Raw genomic sequence first — 19709 nt, 5'->3', positions numbered from 1 at the left:
ACTACGCAATCAAGTCTACAAAACAACTAGCTAACAATATGATGACAGGATCAAAATCTCACATAGCAATGTTAACTTTGAAAGTAAGCCATCTAAACATTCCACTTAAAGGCATGGTGTAGTAAACTGGATAAAAAGACAAGACCCAACTATCTGTTGTCTTTAAGAGACCCATCTCACATGTAACAACACGGACAAGCTCAAAGTAAAAGGATGGGGAAAGATCTATCTCGCAATCAGAAAACAGAAAAGAACAGGGATCACTAGTCTTATAACAGATAAAACAGATTTTAAATAAACTATAGTCAAAATGGACAAAGAATGACATTATATAATGATAATGGATTCAATACAACAAGAAGACAACTATTATATAGAAATATATACATCTATTATATATTCTAAATCTATCTATACATATGCATATATAGATGCACCCAACATTGGAAACACCCACCTTCATAAACGATTTTCTCTAGACTGATTAGAAGAGTTATGAACACAAAGAGGGAAACAACAGACACTGGGGTCTACTTGAGGGTAGGAGGAGGGAGAGGAGCAGAAAAGATAATTATTGGGTACTAGGCTTAATAGCTGAGTGATGAAATAATATATACAACAAACCCTCATGACATATGATTACCTAGCTAACAAATCTTCATATGTACCCTCAAACCTAAAATAAAGTTACAAAAGAAAGACTTAGACAGCCACACAATAATAGACTTCAACATCTGATTGACAGCATTAGACAGATCATCAAGGCAGAAAATTAACAAAGAAATTCTGGACGTAAACTCAACACTAGACCAAATGGACCTAACAGACATCTACCAAATATTCCACTCAACAACCACATTCTTCTCGTCTGCACATAGAATATACTCTAATATCAACAACAAGTTTGGCTGTAAAGCAAGTCTCTATAAATTAAAAAAAAAATGGAAATCATACTAAGCACACTCTCAGACCACAGGGCAATAAAAACAGAAATTACCACCTAGAAGATATCTCAAAACCACACATTCCTTGGAAATTAAACAACTTGCTTCTGAGGGACTTTCGGATAAGCATCAAAATTAAAGATAAAACAAAAAAATTCTTTGAAATAAATGAAAATAGAGACACAAGATAGTAAAATCAGAGCAGAATTGAATGAAATCGAGACACCAAAATCCATACAAAGATTGATAAAACCAAAAGTTTGTCCTTTGAGAGAATGATATTGATAAACCACTAGCTAGATTAACAAAGAAAAAAACAGAGATCCAAATAAACACAACTAGAAGTAACAAAGATGACATTATAACTAATCCCACAGAAATACAAAAGATTATCAGAGACTGTAATGAACACCTCTAAGCACACAAATTAGAAAATCTAGAGAAAATAGATGCATCCCTGCAAACACCCAATCTCTCAGGATTGAACCAGAAGAAATTGAAAACCTGAACAGACCAATAATGAGTTCAGAAATCAGTAATAAAATATCTACCAACAACAACAAAAGAAGCCCTGGACCAGATGGATTCACAACCATAATCTAACAGATGTACACAGAAGAACTGATACCAATCTTATTGAAATTATTTCAAACCATTGAGGAAGAACAACTTCTCCCTAACTCATTCTATGAAGCCAGCATTATCCTGATACCAAAATCTGGTAGAGACACAATGAAAAGAAAAAACTTCAGGCCAATATCCCTGATGAACATAGATATAAACATCCTCAAGAAAATACTAGCAAATTGAATCCAGCAGCCTATCAAAAAGTTAATTCACCATGATCAAGTAGGCTTTATTCCTGGTATGCAAGATTGGTTCATCATATTCAAATCAATAAATGTAATTCACCATATAAACAGAATAAAAACAAAAATCATATGAGCATCTCAATAGATGCAGAAAAAGCCTTCAATAAAATTAAACATCGCTTCATGATAAAAACTTGCAACAAACTAAGCATCAAAAGAACATACCTGAAAATAATAAGAGCCATCTATGGCAAACCAGCTCCCAACGTTATACTAAATGGGCAAACGCTGGAAGCAATGCCCTTGGTAACTGGAACAAGAAAGGATGCCCACTGTCACCACTCCTATTGAATATACTATTGGAAGTCTTAGCCAGAGCAATTAGGCAAGAGAAAGAAATAGAAAGCATCTAAATAGGAAAAAAGAAGTCAAACTGTCTTTCTTCACTGACAATATGATTCTATACCTAGGAAACCCTAAAGACACCACCAAAAGGCTCTTGGAACTGATAAACAACTTTAGCAAAGTTTCAGGATACATAATAAATGTAAAAAAAATCAATTGCATTTCTATACACCAATGATGTTCTAGCTGAGAGCCAAATCAAGAATGCAATCCCATTTACAATAGCCACAAAAAGAATAAAATACCTAGGAATAGAGCTAACTTAGGAGGTGAAAGACCTTTACAAGGAGAACTACAAAACATTGTTGAAAAAAATCAGAGACAACACAAATAAATACAGAAACATCCCATGCTCATGGATTGGAAGAAAAAGTATCATTAATATGACCATACTGCCCAAAGCAACTTACAGATTCAATGCTATTACTATCAAATTGCCAAATCATTTCACAGAATTAAAAAAAAAACTATTCTAAATTTATATGGAACCAAAAAAGAGCCCAAAGAGCCAAAACAATCCTAAGCAAAAAGAACAAACCAGAGGTATCACATTACCTGACTCCAAACTATACTATGAGGCTATAGTAACCAAAAAAGCATGGTACTGGTACAAAAACAAACACGTAGAAGAAGGGAACAGAATAGAGAACCCAAAAATAGAGCCACACACCTATAAATATCTGATCTTCAACAGAGTCAACAAAAATAAGCAATTTGGAAAATACTCCTTTCTTCAATAAATGGTGCTAGGATAACTGGCTATCCATATGCAGAAGAATGAAACTGGATCCCTACCCATCCCCATAAGCAAAAATTAACTCAAAATGGATTAAAGACTTAATGTAAGACCTCAAACCATAAAAATCCTGGAAGAAAACTTAGGAAATACCCTTCTCAATATCGACCTTGGCAAAGAATTTATGATTAAGTCATCAAAAGCAATTGCAACAAAAACAAAAATTGACAAGTGGGACCTAATTAAACTAAAGAGCTTCTGCACAGCAAAAGAAACTATTAACAGAGTAAACGGACAACACACAGAATGGGAGAAAATATTCACAAACTATGCATCCAACAGAGGTCTAATATACTGAACAACCTATAAGGAACTTAAATAAACCAACAAGAAAAAGTAAATAATCGCATTAAAAAGTGGACAAAGAACGTAACGGATACTTCTCAAAAGAAGACATATAAGCAACTCACAGACATATAAAAAATACTCATCATCACTAATGATCAGAGAAATGCAAATCAAGACCACCATGAGATACCATATCATACAAGTCAGAATGGCTTTTGTTAAAAAGTCCAAAAATCACAGATGTTGTTGAGGCTGTTGAGAAAAGGGGTCACTTACACACTGTTGGAAAGCAAATTAGTCCAGTCATTGGGGAGGGCAGTTTGGAGATTTCTCAAACAACTAAGAGTTGCACTACCATTCTACCTAGCAATCCCATTACTGGGTATACACTCAAAGGAAAATAAATTGTTCTACCAAAAAGATACCTGCACTAATATGTTCATCACAGCACTATCCACAGTAGCAAAGACATGGAGTCTATCCAGGTGCCCATGAGCAGTGGACTGAATAAAGAAAATGTGGTGTATGGAATACTATGCAGCCATAAAAAGAACAAAATCACGTACTCTGCAGCAATATGGATGTAGCTGGAGGCCACTATCCTAATTGAACTAACACAGAAATAGAAAACTAAATACCACATGTTCTCACTTATAAGTGGGAGATAAACATTGGGTACACATAGACACAGACACAAAAATGGGAACAATAGATGCTGAAGGTTCCAAAACATGACAGGAAAGGAGGGGGGCAAGTGTTAAAAACTACCTACCAGGTATTACTTTTACTACTTAGTTGACAGAATCATTAGAAGCCCAAACCTTAGCATCAATATACCCATGAAACAAACCTGCACATGTATCCCTAATTTCAACATTTTTAAAATCCAGTAATAAAATAATAATAAACAAATCTAAAAACCAATTTTCAAAATCTTGGCTCTATCCCCTACTAACAATTTCGCATTAAGGAAGTTTCTTAACCTATTTGTGCCTCAGGAATAAAAGTGCCTTCCCCAAAGGGCGGCACTCAGTGCTAAATGAGTTAACACGTCGGAAGTGCTTCCAAGCACTCCTAGTAAGAACTGAAAACTCAAAATTTTCCCTATATTGTTGAGAATTTTTTTAAAGTAATTAGTCTAATGCTTAAGGGTCCACAAATTTCATAAGGTAATCCATTATCCAAGTATAATAACTTATTGAAGAATGAATATGACTCCAACTACAAAACAATATTTTGTGAGGTTGCTTTGTTGTATATGCTCTCGCTGAGTGGTTCTCGATTGGGGCAAATGCCCAGCTGTGGACATTTGGCGGTGTCTGGAGAAATTTCCGGTTGTCTAATGAATAGAGGCCAGGGATGCTGCTAAACCCTCTACATTGCACAGGACAGTCCCCCACAACACAGTACTGTATGACTCAAAATGCCAATAGTGCCAGGGTTGAGAAACTGCTCTCATCTGTGACCAGCATATGGTTCTGTTGCCTCCAGAGCCAGAAGAGTAGTCAGATCCAGGTTCCAAAGGGTATATTTTTCACTGTTAACACCTGTTGTATCAAAAATTACTCAAATGCATCATTTTTAAAATTAGGAATATACTAAAATCCTTTGTTCGCCTTTATACAATGCAGAAAATAGAAAGACAAATCAAGATATTTTTGATTAACCAAAAAACGACTATTTATACATGTTCTAAAATTACACATATTAAGTAATGTTATCCATAGCGACCAATTATCATAAAGGCCTATGGAGATTTAAAGAGAAGTCAGTCTTTGAAAGCCAAATGTCCATTGCTTCTCAGCCTTTTGGCTAAGATCAAGTGAAAGAAAATGTCCCCAGAGGGCTTGTTTTACAGGTAACCTTCAAAGATGTCTTCATGCCTATTGGAAAATCCGATTTTTATTCTCAAATATTTTCTGGTGCTCGATTTTAAAAAACAAATTTCTTCTTAACGGCTTTCTTGGTTAGAATTTCATCTTATTTTGCCCTTGTATCAATAGCTCCTTCCTTCCTCCTATATGTCCAAATATCTTTCATAAGCAACTACTAAGTAGGAGTGCCTGTAGTCTCAAGCTGGCCCACAGGAATTTAATTTATTAGCACTGGCTGGTAAAATGCTATCCTAAAAACTTAAGGCTGGGCTGGGCGCCATGGCTCATGCCTGTAATCCCAGCACTTTGAAAGGCCGAGGCGAATGGATCACGAGGTCAAGAGTTGAAGACCAGCCTGGCCAAGATGGTGAAATCCCGTGTCTACTAAAAATACCAAAAAATCAGCCAGGTGTGGTGGTGGCTGCCTGTAATCCCAGCTACTCGGGAGGCTGAGGCAGGAGAATTGCTTGAACCTGGGAGGCAGAGGTTGCAGTGTGCCGAGATTGTGCCACTGCGCTCCAGCCTAGGTGACAGAGCAAGACTCCATCTCAAAAATTAAAAAGAATTAAAAAAAAAACAAGGCTATTAAATAAAAAAGAGAAAAATAGAAGTCTAATAGATTGACTGTGAGGTACATGATATTCAGTTTCCACATACTTAATGCCCACTCTAACATTCCTTCTTCAGAATGAAGATTCGGATAACCCCTTGGGTGAATAATCCAAACAAGCTAAGGAGCTGGGTGAGGGCAAAGGGATTATGGAATGGGTGGAGCAGAAAAGTCACAAACACTGTGACCACGTGGCCAGTCACAGAAATGAGGATATAGCGTCTTCACAAATTTTTCTCCTTGATGTGTCACATGTATATTGGTATGTTTTATTAATTCTTCATTCATCTCCTGTCCCTTACTATTTTATTTGGGTTTGTTCATAGCAGCACATTTTTCAGATTGGTCCACAGGTTATAGAATATCAAGGCAGGATTTTGACATTCCAGAGGAGGCCTGGTATTTGTTGAAAACATCCAGTCTCGGAGATGGGTGAAACTCTGACATCATCTGAGAAGACGGCTAGTGTGTTCCAACTGTGCACAGTGTCAGATGAGAACGTTTTAAGTGGGAGGCATTGTTAACATGAGAAGAAAGAAGTGTATGTATGTTGGAGGAGCCAAAGATGTGAAATGTAAACATCTGTCATGATGTTGTTTTTCTGTCCAGCGTCTTCTTCCTTTGATGCTTGGGGTATCCTCTCTTAGGAGAGGCTAAAATATTCTCAGCATCTTCTGCAGTAGGGGCACAGGTTTGTGACCCGGTCTCTATTACTCAGGTGTTTTTGTGCCAGTCAAGGACTAGTGATACAAAAAGGGAGGAACTGCCCAGAATTAAATGTGGTGAGACTGACACTAGAGGCAGTAGCAAGTCCAGTTTCCTGAATAACTAGTGTTAACAATTCTAGGATTATCCGGTGTACCATGGGTATCAGCAGCACACACTACCCTGTCTGTGCCTCCCCCCCAAAAAAACTGCATCAATGCCTTCATAGAATCACTTCTGTAGAATGATTTTTTAAATGTTTTTCTTGACGGTAGTCAACTCCAAGCATTATTCTCAGAGATTACGTGAGCTATTAATACTCCTTAATAAATGTGTTTTCTGCTAAAACTAGCCAAAGTTTTCATCTGTTGCTTGCAACTATAAATACTGGATGATGATGATAATGATGATGATGATATATGGAAACTCGGTAAAGGCCACCGCCACAACACTCGGCTAATTTTTGAATTTCTGGTGGAGACGGGGTTTCATCATGATCTTTTAAAAACACCACACTTTCTTAATTACTGTAGCCTTATAGTAAGGCTTAGATGCAAATAGTGCAAATCCTCTGAATTTGTAATTCTTTTTCAAGAGAGTTTTGGCTGTTATACACCATTATAAAATACTTGAGACCAGAAAATAACTACCTTCAAGGGTTAAAAGGAACAAAACCCAGCGCTACAATGGGCCAGTACCAATGCTTATTCCCATCAATCAGACCAGAAAAAAAAAAAAAACCCTGATAATTTATAACCCTTTGCATAGAGTACTTAGAGCTTCTTCCCTCAGCAGTGGTGAATAATTAACCCTAGGGTAAATGCTGCTCTGGTCCTACCTAACAAATTCGAAAAGCAAGACCCAAAAGGATCAAACTAATTCCAGGTAATTTAACTGAATGCCAGAACAAAGTTCATGAATATTTAGAGGAATACAAAAATATCCAGCACGCAAAATGACAAAAACTCACAATGACTATCAACCATGTATACAAAGGAGCAGGAAAATATGACCAATTTTAAGAAGGAAACTATCAGTCAAGAAAGACCCACTTGGTAGGCTGAAGTGAGAGGGTTGTTTGAGCCCAGGAGTTTGAGGATGTAGTGTGGTATGATCTCACCTGTGAAGTAGCCACAGCACTCCAGCCTGAGCAACATAGTGAGATTCCACCTCTAAAAAAAAATTAAGATTAAAAGAAGACCCAAATCTAGCACAGGCATTTGAACTAGCACTCAAAAACATCAAAGCAATTATTATAACTGCAATCATATGTTTAAAAGATTAAAGTCATGGAAAATATTTTTAAAGAACCAAAACTAACTTCTAGACATGAAAAATACGGTTCCTAAGAGAAAAACACAACTGGATGGAATTAACAGCAGGATTATGCACTGTAAAAAAAAAATTAGTTAAGTTGGTGACACAGCAATAGGAACTATTCAAAATGAAATACAAAGAGAAAAAAGAGCAAAAATCTAACTGAGCATATATAAAATATGAGAAACTTAATCTACCTAGTTTACATGTAATTGGAAAAATATTTGGAGAAAGAATTCCCCCTCAATTACCAAATTGGACGAAAACTATAAATCCAAAGTTCAAAGAACCTTGGTGATCCCCAAACACACACACACACACACACACATAAAACTATACTAAGACATATAATAAATTGCTTAAAATGAGTAATAAAGAGAAAACCTTAAAAATCGTCAGAGGGAAAAAATATACATACAAAACTACAAAAATAATGATGAAAGCTGACTTATCATAAACAACGCAAGCCAAAGATAGAGGAGCCACATCTTTTAAGTCAGAGATGAGTAGAAGAGAGGGATTGTAAATGAGCATAGGGAAAGTCTTGGAGATCATCTCCAAATGTTCATTTTCTTGATTGTAGTAATGTTTCCACTGGCATATACAGATATCAAAACTTATCAAGTTTTACACTGTTAATATGTGCTGTTTATTGTAGGTCAGTTACACCTAAATAAAGCTATTAAAAAAATAAATGCATGAAAACAAGGTCAACTTCACTGATAATGAAATGAGTATGAATCAAATCAACAATGATATTTCTTTGTCTCTTTCATGTGCTTGAATATATTATCTCGATCTTAGTAATTAATGATCTTGATAGTTTAGTGAGAAATGACACTCAATGCATTTTTAATAGAAACAACACTTTGGAAAACAACTTGGAAGTAAGCCTCAGAAGCTTTGAGCCATTAGTTCCACTTCTAGTCATATAGCAAGAAAATCTCAAACATAAGAAATATTTAATCCGGAATGATTTTTCAAGGCAATATTATATGTAAGAGTCCAAAAACTGAACTCAAGGCTACTACTGTGAAAATAAACAACACGATGGCTTTGCACACAGAAGTTTCTTTCTTCTTTACACAAAAATGCAAGCCAAGGGGCATTCTTTCATCCACTGATCAGAGATCCATACTTGCTCCATCGTGAAATTCTGCTATCTCAATATATGGCTTTTACAGGCACTGTGGCAGGGGAAGAGAATATGACAAACTCATACCTTAATTGCTTCTGACCGGAAGCGAACCACGTAATTTTACTCACAGCCCATTGGCAAGCACTAATTCCATGTGCCCTATCCTGAATAAATGAAAGGCTGGTAACTGTGGAACATACAAAACAGCACTACAGGCGCTACTATAATCCACAAGACAGGAATTGCTTTGTAAAACATTGCCTAGCATAGCTCATGTCTTGGATATCCACCAAAAAATATTACATAGAAATTTAAATAACATTTTAAAAGAGCTGTTAATAACATGAAAGAAAGCTTATGCCAGGATGTTTTAAAAAACACATTATAAACTTGCGTATGTTACTTATTCATCTTGCAGCCTTGTGATTTCAGATTAAATCATTTAATCTTTATACACCTTATTTTGTTCATAAGCAAAAGGCAGAAAATATACCTCCCTCATCAGATTTCTGCGAAGAAAAACAAAACAGCTATGCATGTTGAATTCTTAGCCTAGTGCCTAAATCTATAAGCTTGTCAAGAAATAATACCAATTTCAAAAATGTATTTTTATCTATAGAACTCATCATCTAATACCTATTATATTATATGTTCAGTTTTTGGAATTGCTTATTTTTTGTCTCTTCTCAATAGAGCAGAGACTTTTACTTGCTTAGTGATGCATTCCTAGTATCCAGAACAGTGCTTGGTACATAGAAAGTGTGCAAAAATTAGATGTCGTTAGGGGTCTATGTGGCTATAGAGAGGTAGCGTAAGGGAGCTTTGTGGTAATGGAATAGTTCTGTATCTAGATTGTGATGGGTATACAAATCTAAACACATGATAAAGTCACATATAACTATATACGCATACATACAGATGAATGCATATAAAAGTGGTAAAATCTGAATAAGCTCTGTAGATTATTCGGATAATCTATTTTTTGATTGTGATATTGTACTATAATTATGCAAGATGTTACCATGACAGAAAACAAAGTAAAGGGTGCACAGGAATTCCCTGTACCTTTTTCTGCAACTTCTTACAAATCTATCATTATTTCAAAATGAAAATGTTTTTTAAGTTGTTGCACAAATAAACACAATTTGCAGCTGTGTTTTAAAAATAGAAATTTGAAAAGCAAGACGTAAATATTTAATACTGTTAAGACTGTCTTTCTTTGGACCTTGCAATGATGGGATATTTATTTTTATCTTTCTGTCTTTCTGTTAAAATTCTTAATGGAAAAAAATTAACATTAGGCCTTAATTTTTGGTTTGTTCCTTTATTTCTTCTTTAGCTATTCATTTAGTCTCCTGCCACAGAAAGAGGCCTTCAAATAATGTTTGGAATTTAAAGGCATCAACCCTACCTCAACCTCGGCCCCTAATCCAAGCCCCTAATTTGCACTAAGGTGAGAGAAGGTCCATGGAGCACAGTGAATCACATGGATTGTCAGGGAAGCTGTTTGGAGGTTTTCTGATACTCACAGTCTCTCTCAAAGTCTTTCTAATCCACTTGCCTGCCTTCTGTCACTGCAATAGTCTACTCTTCTTGCTTAGATTTGAAAACTCATTGAAGGAACAGATTTAGTTTATGCTTTTTAGCTACTTTGCCTAAAGGAAATATTTTCTCCTTGCCCCACCCACCTGAAACAGAGAGAGATGCTCTGTGGGCAAGTAGTTGCAAAGCCCAAGCCCACGACTAATTCTTTCCATTCCTAGAAGGCAGTGCAGCTTTTACAATCATACTTATTTAGTTAATTTAATACAAAAGAACCTCCTTTCTTCTCCTCTATGCCACTTTACCAGATAGCCACTTGGTGATAATTTTCAGAAATCTGTTGGAACTAGTAATCGCCCATGGTGCAGAATGTCTCTGACAGTACTTCAATGAGAAGGCTGTATCAGAACCAATGCCTAAGAAAGAACTTCATTAATAATAATAATACAGCACATTTTAACAAGAGTACACTATTTTTGAATGGTTTTGTAATTTCCACACAGCTCTACAAATTTCCTAAGCACAGAAGTCCCATAAGCTGTTTCTATAAATAAACCTCACTGAATCATGGGGAAGCTCCACAGCAAAGCTCCGGCCCCCTCTAACCTCCACTCAAGCCCAGAAAGAAAGATGGAGATGTCTATGAACAATAGTTCTCCTTTTCACACTCTTTTCCTACTTTTTTAATCTCCAGGCTGTTTGTCTGTCTCCTCACCATTTCTCTGAAGGTAAATCTCACACTAAGCACATCTGAACTACAACATTAGTAGCAAAGAGGGTGTCGTTACCCCTAAGAGTGTCTGAAATATAACACATTTAACTTAAAAGGCTGCAAGGACAAGGGGACAGATGGACAGTTCCTTGGAAAGCAGTCCCAAAGGATGTGTGTGGTGGGATCTTTGGAAATGTGTGAAACACAGGAAGGTATGTCTATGGGTTAGAGGTTCTGTGAGCCCAAAGGGGACAAAAGTGTCCTTGATGTTTATGCTTCTGTTTGTCTCATCTCAGAATTTTACAGTCCTGACCTATCATTTTTTATTGTGCAGTGTTGAAAGAGATTCCTCTCTCCTCATTTCCATGGCATGAAAGTTAAGGTCCCAAGAAGAAAAAGGATTGCTCAGCATTACACAAGAGTTAATAACAGAGCACAGGCAGCTTTCCCAAAGTTCTCTCTCTTTCATCTTGCTCTTCTTACTGCATGACCCTTAGAGCTGAGCTTATTCACCCGCTGGCTCCCTATGTCGGGAGACAGGAGGCAGGGACACCCCACCCACTCTCACTCTTGGCACACAGACTTAGGTGCAGGCATGATTCCTGATGGTGGAGGAGGACACTGCTCTCCCTCTTCAGTATAATTTTCCCACTTCACCCCGTCCTGACCTTCCCTTCAACTTCAACTTCTTCTCATTTGAAAATCAAAATTGTACTTTACATTTAATTTTCCAACAACCTAATATTTAGACAAATAATTTGAGGTACATATATATATAGATGTGTGAACTTGATTTGTATATACTTGATTTTGTATATATATGTAAATACACATATCTATATACTTAAGTTTGTTTCTATACAGAATAAAAGAAATTCTTTGGTCAGTCTTCCACACAAGAGATTGCAATGACCTGAAAAAATAAACTTTCTGCACATTAATGTGTATATTAAAAGTAAGATGTTGGAAACCAGTGGTATGATGTTCCTATGTGTATATTAGGAACAAGTGATACTGCATATCAAAAAAAAAGAGAGATGTTCTAAATAATTAAATAAAAAAGGCTTATGTGATACAAAACTGTACAAATAAAAATAATGCCAAATTAGTGGCCTTAATGACGCCATTGGTGCCACAGTTGGAAGGAGTGACTAGGTGGGGCTGTAAGGTAGAATACACTAAATTAACTATATTATACGAGAGCTTGGAAGATACACCTTTAATCAGGTAATGATCATGAACATCATTAGTAATTGGATACATTGAGATCATGTGACATCTGACAGAATGAAGAGCTCAGCTTCACAGAAGTGATGATCTTGTTAAAATGCATAACCTGAACCTAATCATAGGGAAACACCAGGAAAGTCCAAAACAAGGAAATATAAAATAATTGGCCTGTAGTCTTCAAAAGCATCAGTCATAAAAGTCAAAGAAAGACTGAGGAACTATTCCAAACTGAAGGTTAAAGAAACATAACAACCAACTGGAACACAACTCTAGACTAGATCCTATTGCTATTAGTGCCATTATTGAGATAACTGGAAAATTCAAATGGGGTCTGGAGATTAGAAAGTAGTGATGTACCAATGATAGCTTTTCTGATTGTGATGATTATATGATGCTTATAGAGGAGAACCTTCTTAATATTCAGGGGTGATTTGTGGCACTATTTTAGCAACTCGTTCTCACATGTTTCAGGTAATAAAATGTTCTCTGCACTTTAAACTCCAGTAGAGTTTGGACAATTTAAATGGTGCTGATTGCATCCTTATAATGCCCTTTTACATACTCCTTTGTCCACTATTTTTTAATGTGTTTCTTTAAAAAAGTAGTTCATTTTCTCCACATTTTAAAGTATGCTAAACTAGGGTGCTTTTTATAATCAGTGTCAAAACAACCGGCTGTTTTCCAAACAGAGGAGAACTCCAGGCTTGAACCAGAGTTGTTAAGACACTTTTAATATCCTGCTTTAAAATAGATTGGTTTTTTGTTTTTCCTTTAGGAGGACGTTAGGACATTTTTTCCTTTCTCCAAACCACCCTATTTGAATTTCCTAAATGGGATTGAGGTAGGGCGGGAGAAAGGGGTTGCAGGTTTAGGGTACAGAGGCTATATATTTCAGTGACCAGAAAAAAAAAGCTTATAAAGTTTTCCATTAGATAGTGTAAAAACTATGACGGCTTGGGAATTCTGTCAAAGAAAATTGGTGAAATCTTTCCAGGAATGAGTTGGCTAGCATAAATGTTTACTTCTGTTAGAAGGCAATGGCAGAAATTGCCAAATAAAGACGCCAGAAAAGTAGATTTCCTATCAATATGTCATAAAATTAATTTAAAGAAACTTTTAAAAACATAAAGAATTTTGTAGCATAAACCAACGTAGGAATGGGACACAACCTCATTCCATAAACTTCAAACAGTGAATATAATTTAATAGAAAATACAGGCAAGGCACAGTGGTTAACACCTGTAATCCCAGCACTTTGGGAGGCCAAGGCAGGTAGATCACAAGGTCAGGAGATCGAGACCATCCTGGCCAACGTGGTGAAACCTGTCTCTACTAAAAATACAAAAAAAATAGCTGGGCATGGTGGCACGCACCTGTAGTCCCAGCTACTTGGGAGGCTGAGGCAGGAGAATTGCTTGAACTCGGGAGGCGGAGGTTGCAGTAAGTCGAGATTGCACCACTGCATTCCAGCCTAGCCACACAGCAAGACTCCGTCTCAAAAAAGAAAAAAAAAAGAAAAAGAAAAAGAAAATACAATGGCATTTGCTGAGCATTTACTATGTGCTGAGCATTTACTAGGTGCTAGGCTTTCTTCACACTACATCTTACATAAGAATGTATATTTGAAGCCAGACTATTTGGTTGCAAATTCTGCCTCCATAAAAATAAGAGTCTGGTTCATCTTGGAATGATGCTTAAACACTATCACTCACTCATTCTGCCAAAGGGCCCACTCTGAGAAATTGTACAAAGGAAAGAAGTAAGTTTATAAAACACTAAGAATTCCAGCCGATATCACCCTATCTTCAAATAGTGGCCTGAGGTAATGAGTAGCCCCTGAAAACGTCAGAATATTATCCTTCAAGTGTAGAAATGTCTTCCTACCTCCACCAGTGTCTTCTCAGAAACTAAAAAATAACCCAGCATCATTCATAGTTTCCACCATTCATGGGTACTGTTCCTTAATGGGATATCCCCCAATCACGTGGAGAAAACCCCCACACAGAACACTTAACAATATTTCAAATGTTCATATTGTGGAGAACCACTTACCTGAGCAATTCCTTGGTTTCCTTATTGAATTCAAGTGAACCTTTTCTTCTGGAGCATTCCCAAAGGCCTGTCAGGTCACCTTGCGGGGCTGCATCCGCTTTTCCTACTCAGGTTGCAACACTGCAGGAATCCCTTTGACCCACCGCAGGGAGTACTACGCAGTGAAAGGGCATTGTTGGGAAACATTCAGGACCTGATTACAAGTCCCACTGCCTACAAAGGTCAGGCAGTAATGTGAAGGGGAAAAGTGGGCCTGGTACAGGATGTTGGGAAGGTAAAAGCGCAGTCTAGGCAGCAGAACAGTCTTCTAAAGGGGGACTTTAGATTGTCATGCTTTGAGAATGCAGGCCCTCTGATGCTCAGTTTCCAATTTATTCAAGAGAAGCTGGGAGTCTGCTCCTTATGTGAAAACTCCTGATTCCTTAAATGTTGGAAATTAGTGAAAAGATTTAGACAACTACCCAGTCCCCCTAAACACACCCTTGGGGACCAAGTCTAGCCTATGGGCTGCTGATCTGGAACCTCTATTATAGGTAAATTTGGAAAAAAATCTTTCTGCTTGCTCATGAGGCAAGTATCAGTCTCAGTTGAAAATTTCATGTATGTAAACAGAAATGATTTTGTTTTTATTCAGTCAACTCAATGCTGACGTTGAGTTCCTATCCCACTGATTTAACAGAAAATTCTGTCATAGTCATCGACCGGGTCCTGGGCATCCCCTCTGGGGTCTGGCCAGCTCCTTAGGGTACCACAGTAACACATGCATAGGTCAGTTAGCCCATCACTGCTCTTCTATGGTCCACAGGCCCTACCCCAGGTCTCTGCATTCTCTCCTCTTGGCTTTGGCGGTTTTCCAAGGCCCTCCCACCCTCACCTCACTGTCTAAGCAGCTTTGGTAATCTGTCCAGTGGCTCAGGCTTTCACTAAAGACTGACTCCTTCGGGATGCTTTGCAGAAGCAGCTACGTAATTTGGAGGCACGGTGCAAAATGAAAATGTGGGGCCTCTTGTTCAAAACGTATTAAGAATTCCAAGATGGAGACAACAGCGCATTAAACCAAGGGTGAGGCTCTCCTAAGTGTAGGGGTCCACGGGACTGCAGTGGTCACACATCCGTGAAGTGGCCCTGACGCTTTGCTTTCTGCATTGGAAAAGTACCTGAGGCAAGGAATTACACATCCTAGCTACCGGACTGAGAGATGGCAGGGAGGTTGGGAAATGGAGAAGATTACATTGCCATGTTTTCGAGAACCGGTTCAGGTTTAGATTCCTAAACTATAGACAAGACTACAAATTTCATAAAGCTGAGAGCAATTTGCTGGCCATGTTACCGAGGGCTGGTTTCAGAATTCAGCACCAACCCTCTCCATCCATCCTTTCCAGCTTCCAGTCAAGCCAGAAGGAAGGGAATCAGATGGATTCTGTCTCTGTCTCTGTCTCTCTCTCTCTCTTGCCAATGACCTCACTCTAATATAAATAAGACCTTCTTCCTGCACTGTGGGTTCCTTCACTCCCACTGCTGTGTCTCTCCTCCCTACAGCACCTTTCTCAAAAGCAAAACCCCTCCACTTCCCTTCTGAGCCTGTTTGACCTGTTTTCCCTTTCTGCCCCAATCTCACAGGTCTCCCTCAATTCTAAACCCTGCTTCCCTTTTACTGCTCATTTCCCTTGGGTCTTTCTGTCCATCTTCTCTCTTACATATTGTTCACCTTCATCCCCGAGATAATTTAATTCCTTACAGGTAGAGAGCATCGTGGGCAGGAACTCTTACCAACAGACCACTTGCCTTGTTGTCTAGTACTGCACTTACTAGCCACCAAAAAGACTGCTGCTCTTCAGAGCTATAAAACATGCGATGACGTGTAAGAAAGGTCATCTTAAACTCCTAGGGGCTGTCAGCACTCTGCTTGCAGTCTGGCAGGGCTCCCCTCTCTCCTCCTTTCCTCCCAGGATCACAGCCAGTCCACAAAGAGCAAGCCTGAGAAGGAGAGGAAAGGGGTGGGGGAGTGGTGGGTGAGGGGGTTGGAGGAGCTGAGGGGTGGCCAGTAGCGGGAGGAGGCAAGTGAAATGGAAACTCCTGGCCTTGGCTGGCCCAGAACTCGCACTGGCCCAGGTTCAGGAGTCTTGGTGTGCTTGCTGGTGAAGGGGTTTTCTCTGCTGCACTGGCTCCGTGTCCTTCCATACCCTAAAACATATACACACACAAACACACACACACACACACACACACACACACACACACACACACACACACAGAAACATGAGGCGCCGAGAGGACTAGCCAGTGATCTCAGCCTCAAGGACTTTGTACTGCAAGAGCGCTGGCATCTGAATTCCAAGGTCATGCTCCACCTCTACCTGCTGCAAACCCCTTCTGCTGCTTGCATTTCAGTGTTCCTTTTTGTATTAATATAAAGGAGGAGAGTGGATGAGATGTTGTAGCTCTGAAATTCTATGACCAATTGCACAGCAAAAACAACAGCAACTAAAAATGGTGGGTTTTGCTTGTGTGCCTGGAGAGGGAGTGGGGGTGGGCAAGCTTATGTCCTGTTGACTGTCAGCTTCTGAGGGGAGAAGGGATCTGGCAAGAGAGAAGTGCAGCTGTCTTGGCAGAGAGAATGAGAAATGAGAGAATGAGAAAGAGAGGTAACTGCAAGCAATCCTGGTCTTTCAGACACACTCAGTCTACAATCCCCAAACACCCACCTGCCCCCACAGTTTCCCCCCAGACACCCCATTTAACCGCACAAACACATCCAGACGCTGGTTTTTCCTTTCACCATAGTAGTCATAAACTATGCCTCTGTGCTAGTAGCTGGGTGCATTCACTTCTAGAAATCTCTTAGAAGTAAAGTCCCATCCATGTCTGCCCTCCAATCTCAGGCTAGGCCTATGTAGTTTTGAGGGGAGACTAGATTTGCAGGGAAATGAGGAGAGAACACACAACTTGGAGATTTGAAGAGCAAAGGAGACAAGGGCCAAGGAAATCATGGAAGAAGTCTGGAAGGATCTGTCCATTCTCTGGTAATGGTGAACATTCACATAGGGTTTTCCATGTGCCAGACACTGCTTTAAGAGCTTTATCTGTATTAAGTCATTTAATCTTCATAAAAATTCCATGAAGTAGAGACAATTATTATCCCCAATGTTACAGATGAAAACACTAAGATAGAAGTTAACAAGCCCTCTGTGATAGGCAGAAAAATAGCTCCCTAAAGATGTTGATATGGTTTGGCTATGTGCCCCCACCCAAATCTCATCTTGCAGCTCCCATAATTCCCACGTGTTATGGGAGGGATCTGGTGGGAGATGATTGAATCATGGGGGTGGGTCTTTCCCCAACCGTTCTCATGATAGTGGAGAGGTCGCAGGAGATCCGATGGTTTTAAAAACGGCAGTTTCCCTGAACAAGCTGTCTCTTTGCCTGCCGCCATCCACATAAGATGTGACTTGCTTCTCCTTGCCTTCTGCCATGATTGTGAGGCCTCCCCAACCACGTGAAACTGTGAGTCCAATTAAACCTCTTTCTTTTGTAAATTGCCCAGTCTGGGGAATGTCTTTATCTGCAGTGTGAAAATGGATTAATACAGATGTCCAGATCCTAATTCCCAGAATTTGTGATACGCAATGCTACATGGCAAGGGAGAATTAAGGTTGCAGACAGAATGAAGGCTGCTAATTAGCTGACCTTGAGATGGGAAATTATCTAGATTATCTGGATAGGCACAATGTAATCACAAGGTCCTTCTAAGTGAAAGAAGGAAGCAGGAGACTCAAAGAAGGAGATGTGACACAGAAGCAGAGGCTGGAGCCATGAGATTGCTGACTTTGAAGATGAAGGAAAGGGCTGCAAGCCAGGGAATGCGGGAGCCTCTGGAAGCTGGAAAAAGCAAGGAAAATAGATTTGTCCCTAGATCCTGCAAAGAGAAACACATCCCTGCCTACACCTGGATGATAGCCCAGTGAGACCTGTGCTGGACTTCCAGGACCTACAGTCCTGGAAGATAGTAGTAAATCTGTGTTGTTTTAAGCCACTAAATGTGTGAAAATTTATCACAGCAGCCTTAGCAATGAATACACTGCCCAACTTGTAAGCAGAGGATGTGGTGGCTTCAAAGTCCAGGCTTTTTCCCTGCTACTCCTTTCTTTCTTTCCTCCCTCATGCCCAATATCTGTCATCTGTTGATTGGTTAGTAACATTCTCAACGCCTTACTGTTTTATTAAACTTATAAAAACAATGTATTGGTTTAAAAAAAAACAATTCAGTGGTTGTGAAGGTAAGAATCAATAGACAATTTCTCCACCGTTAGCCCCGCCTCTTATAGAAGCACATGCAGCATGTCTTCTTCATACACGAATGTAATGCTAAAGCTGATGCAGTGGCTCAGGCCTGTGATCCCAGCACTTTGGGAGGCCGAGGCGGGAGGATCACTTGAGCCCTGGCGTTCGAGACCAGCCTGGGCAACAAAGTAAAACCCTGTCTCTAACAAAAAATCAAAAAGTTAGCTGGGCGTGGTGGCGGCGCACTTGTGGTCCCAGCCTCTGAGGTGGAAGGATCGCTTGAGCCTGGGAGGTTGAAGCTGCAGTGAGCTGTGATGGCACCACTGCACTCCAGCCTGGGTGGCAGAAGCAGACCCTCCCCCTGGAGGGGAGGGGAGGGGAGGGGAGGGGAGGGGAGGGGAGGGGAGGGGGAAAGAGAGATCCTACTCTCCATTTTAATACAACTTGCTTTTTTAATTAAAAACTATAGCTAGAACCGATAGATTTCACTCGTCCTTAAAAATAGTCCTGTATTATTTTATATAAACATCTCTCGCTATTTATCAAGGCCGTCACTTGTTCAGAAGTATTCTCACTTTTGTTTTGTTTTGTTTTGTTCTTAACAATTTGCTCCCTATATTCCTGGGCTGGCGCCTAGGCCTGCATCCGGGATTTGGCGCCACATCTGCGGGCAGGGCCTCTGAGGTCTAGGGGAGGGACGGCGCCGGCCAAGTCCCGCCCCCGTCCGCGTCGACCAATCAGCTCCCTGGAAGGCCCCTCCTCACCACCCCCCACCCCCGCAGTCTCCGCCTAAGACTTTCCAAGTCCTGTAGTTTCGAGCCCGCTGCCCTTTGCCTCCTGGGCGGAGAAGCTGCTTCCTCCTGGGAACAACCGCCTCCCGCTCCTAGCAGGTTGCTACTGCCCCGAACCCGCGCTGCAGGGAACAGCGGGGCAAACAGTGAGTGGGGTTCAGCGTAGACTCTGGACCAGGAGAGGCCCGCGGTGACCGAGGCCTGGGCCCCGG

The 19709-nt window shown here is 39.7% G+C and overlaps 1 protein-coding gene across 4 annotated transcripts in view, besides 3 other annotated features; it reads left to right on the top strand.

Moving 5' to 3' along the window:
* Positions 14324-14880: an enhancer, noted in NCBI's record as "OCT4-NANOG hESC enhancer chr7:143603883-143604439 (GRCh37/hg19 assembly coordinates)". NCBI's record gives its function as "activates a minimal SCP1, AML or CMV promoter by ChIP-STARR-seq in naive H9 embryonic stem cells {active_cell/tissue: H9 hESC(naive)}" and the evidence as "EXISTENCE:reporter gene assay evidence [ECO:0000049][PMID:30033119]".
* Positions 15421-15921: an enhancer, noted in NCBI's record as "H3K4me1 hESC enhancer chr7:143602842-143603342 (GRCh37/hg19 assembly coordinates)". NCBI's record gives its function as "activates a minimal SCP1, AML or CMV promoter by ChIP-STARR-seq in primed H9 embryonic stem cells {active_cell/tissue: H9 hESC(primed)}" and the evidence as "EXISTENCE:reporter gene assay evidence [ECO:0000049][PMID:30033119]".
* Positions 19334-19473: a silencer, noted in NCBI's record as "silent region_18728". NCBI's record gives its function as "represses an Ori minimal core promoter by ATAC-STARR-seq in GM12878 lymphoblastoid cells {active_cell/tissue: GM12878}" and the evidence as "EXISTENCE:reporter gene assay evidence [ECO:0000049][PMID:35858748]".
* The window catches only part of TCAF1 (TRPM8 channel associated factor 1), a 50802-nt gene continuing 50586 nt past the window's right edge, over positions 19494-19709 (top strand). For 2 of the 4 annotated variants that reach the window (XM_005250074.5, NM_001206938.2), the window contains exon 1: positions 19494-19643. The gene's annotated coding sequence lies outside the window, so the exon portion shown is untranslated. The other 2 variants (XM_006716191.3, NM_014719.3) reach the window with 2 other exon arrangements.

The sequence above is a fragment of the Homo sapiens genome, chromosome 7, assembly GCF_000001405.40.
Source record: "Homo sapiens chromosome 7, GRCh38.p14 Primary Assembly".
Classification (NCBI taxonomy): Eukaryota; Metazoa; Chordata; class Mammalia; order Primates; family Hominidae; genus Homo; species Homo sapiens.
The sequence above is the reverse complement of the archived record's forward strand: the minus strand, read 5'-3'. Positions and strand labels throughout refer to the sequence as shown.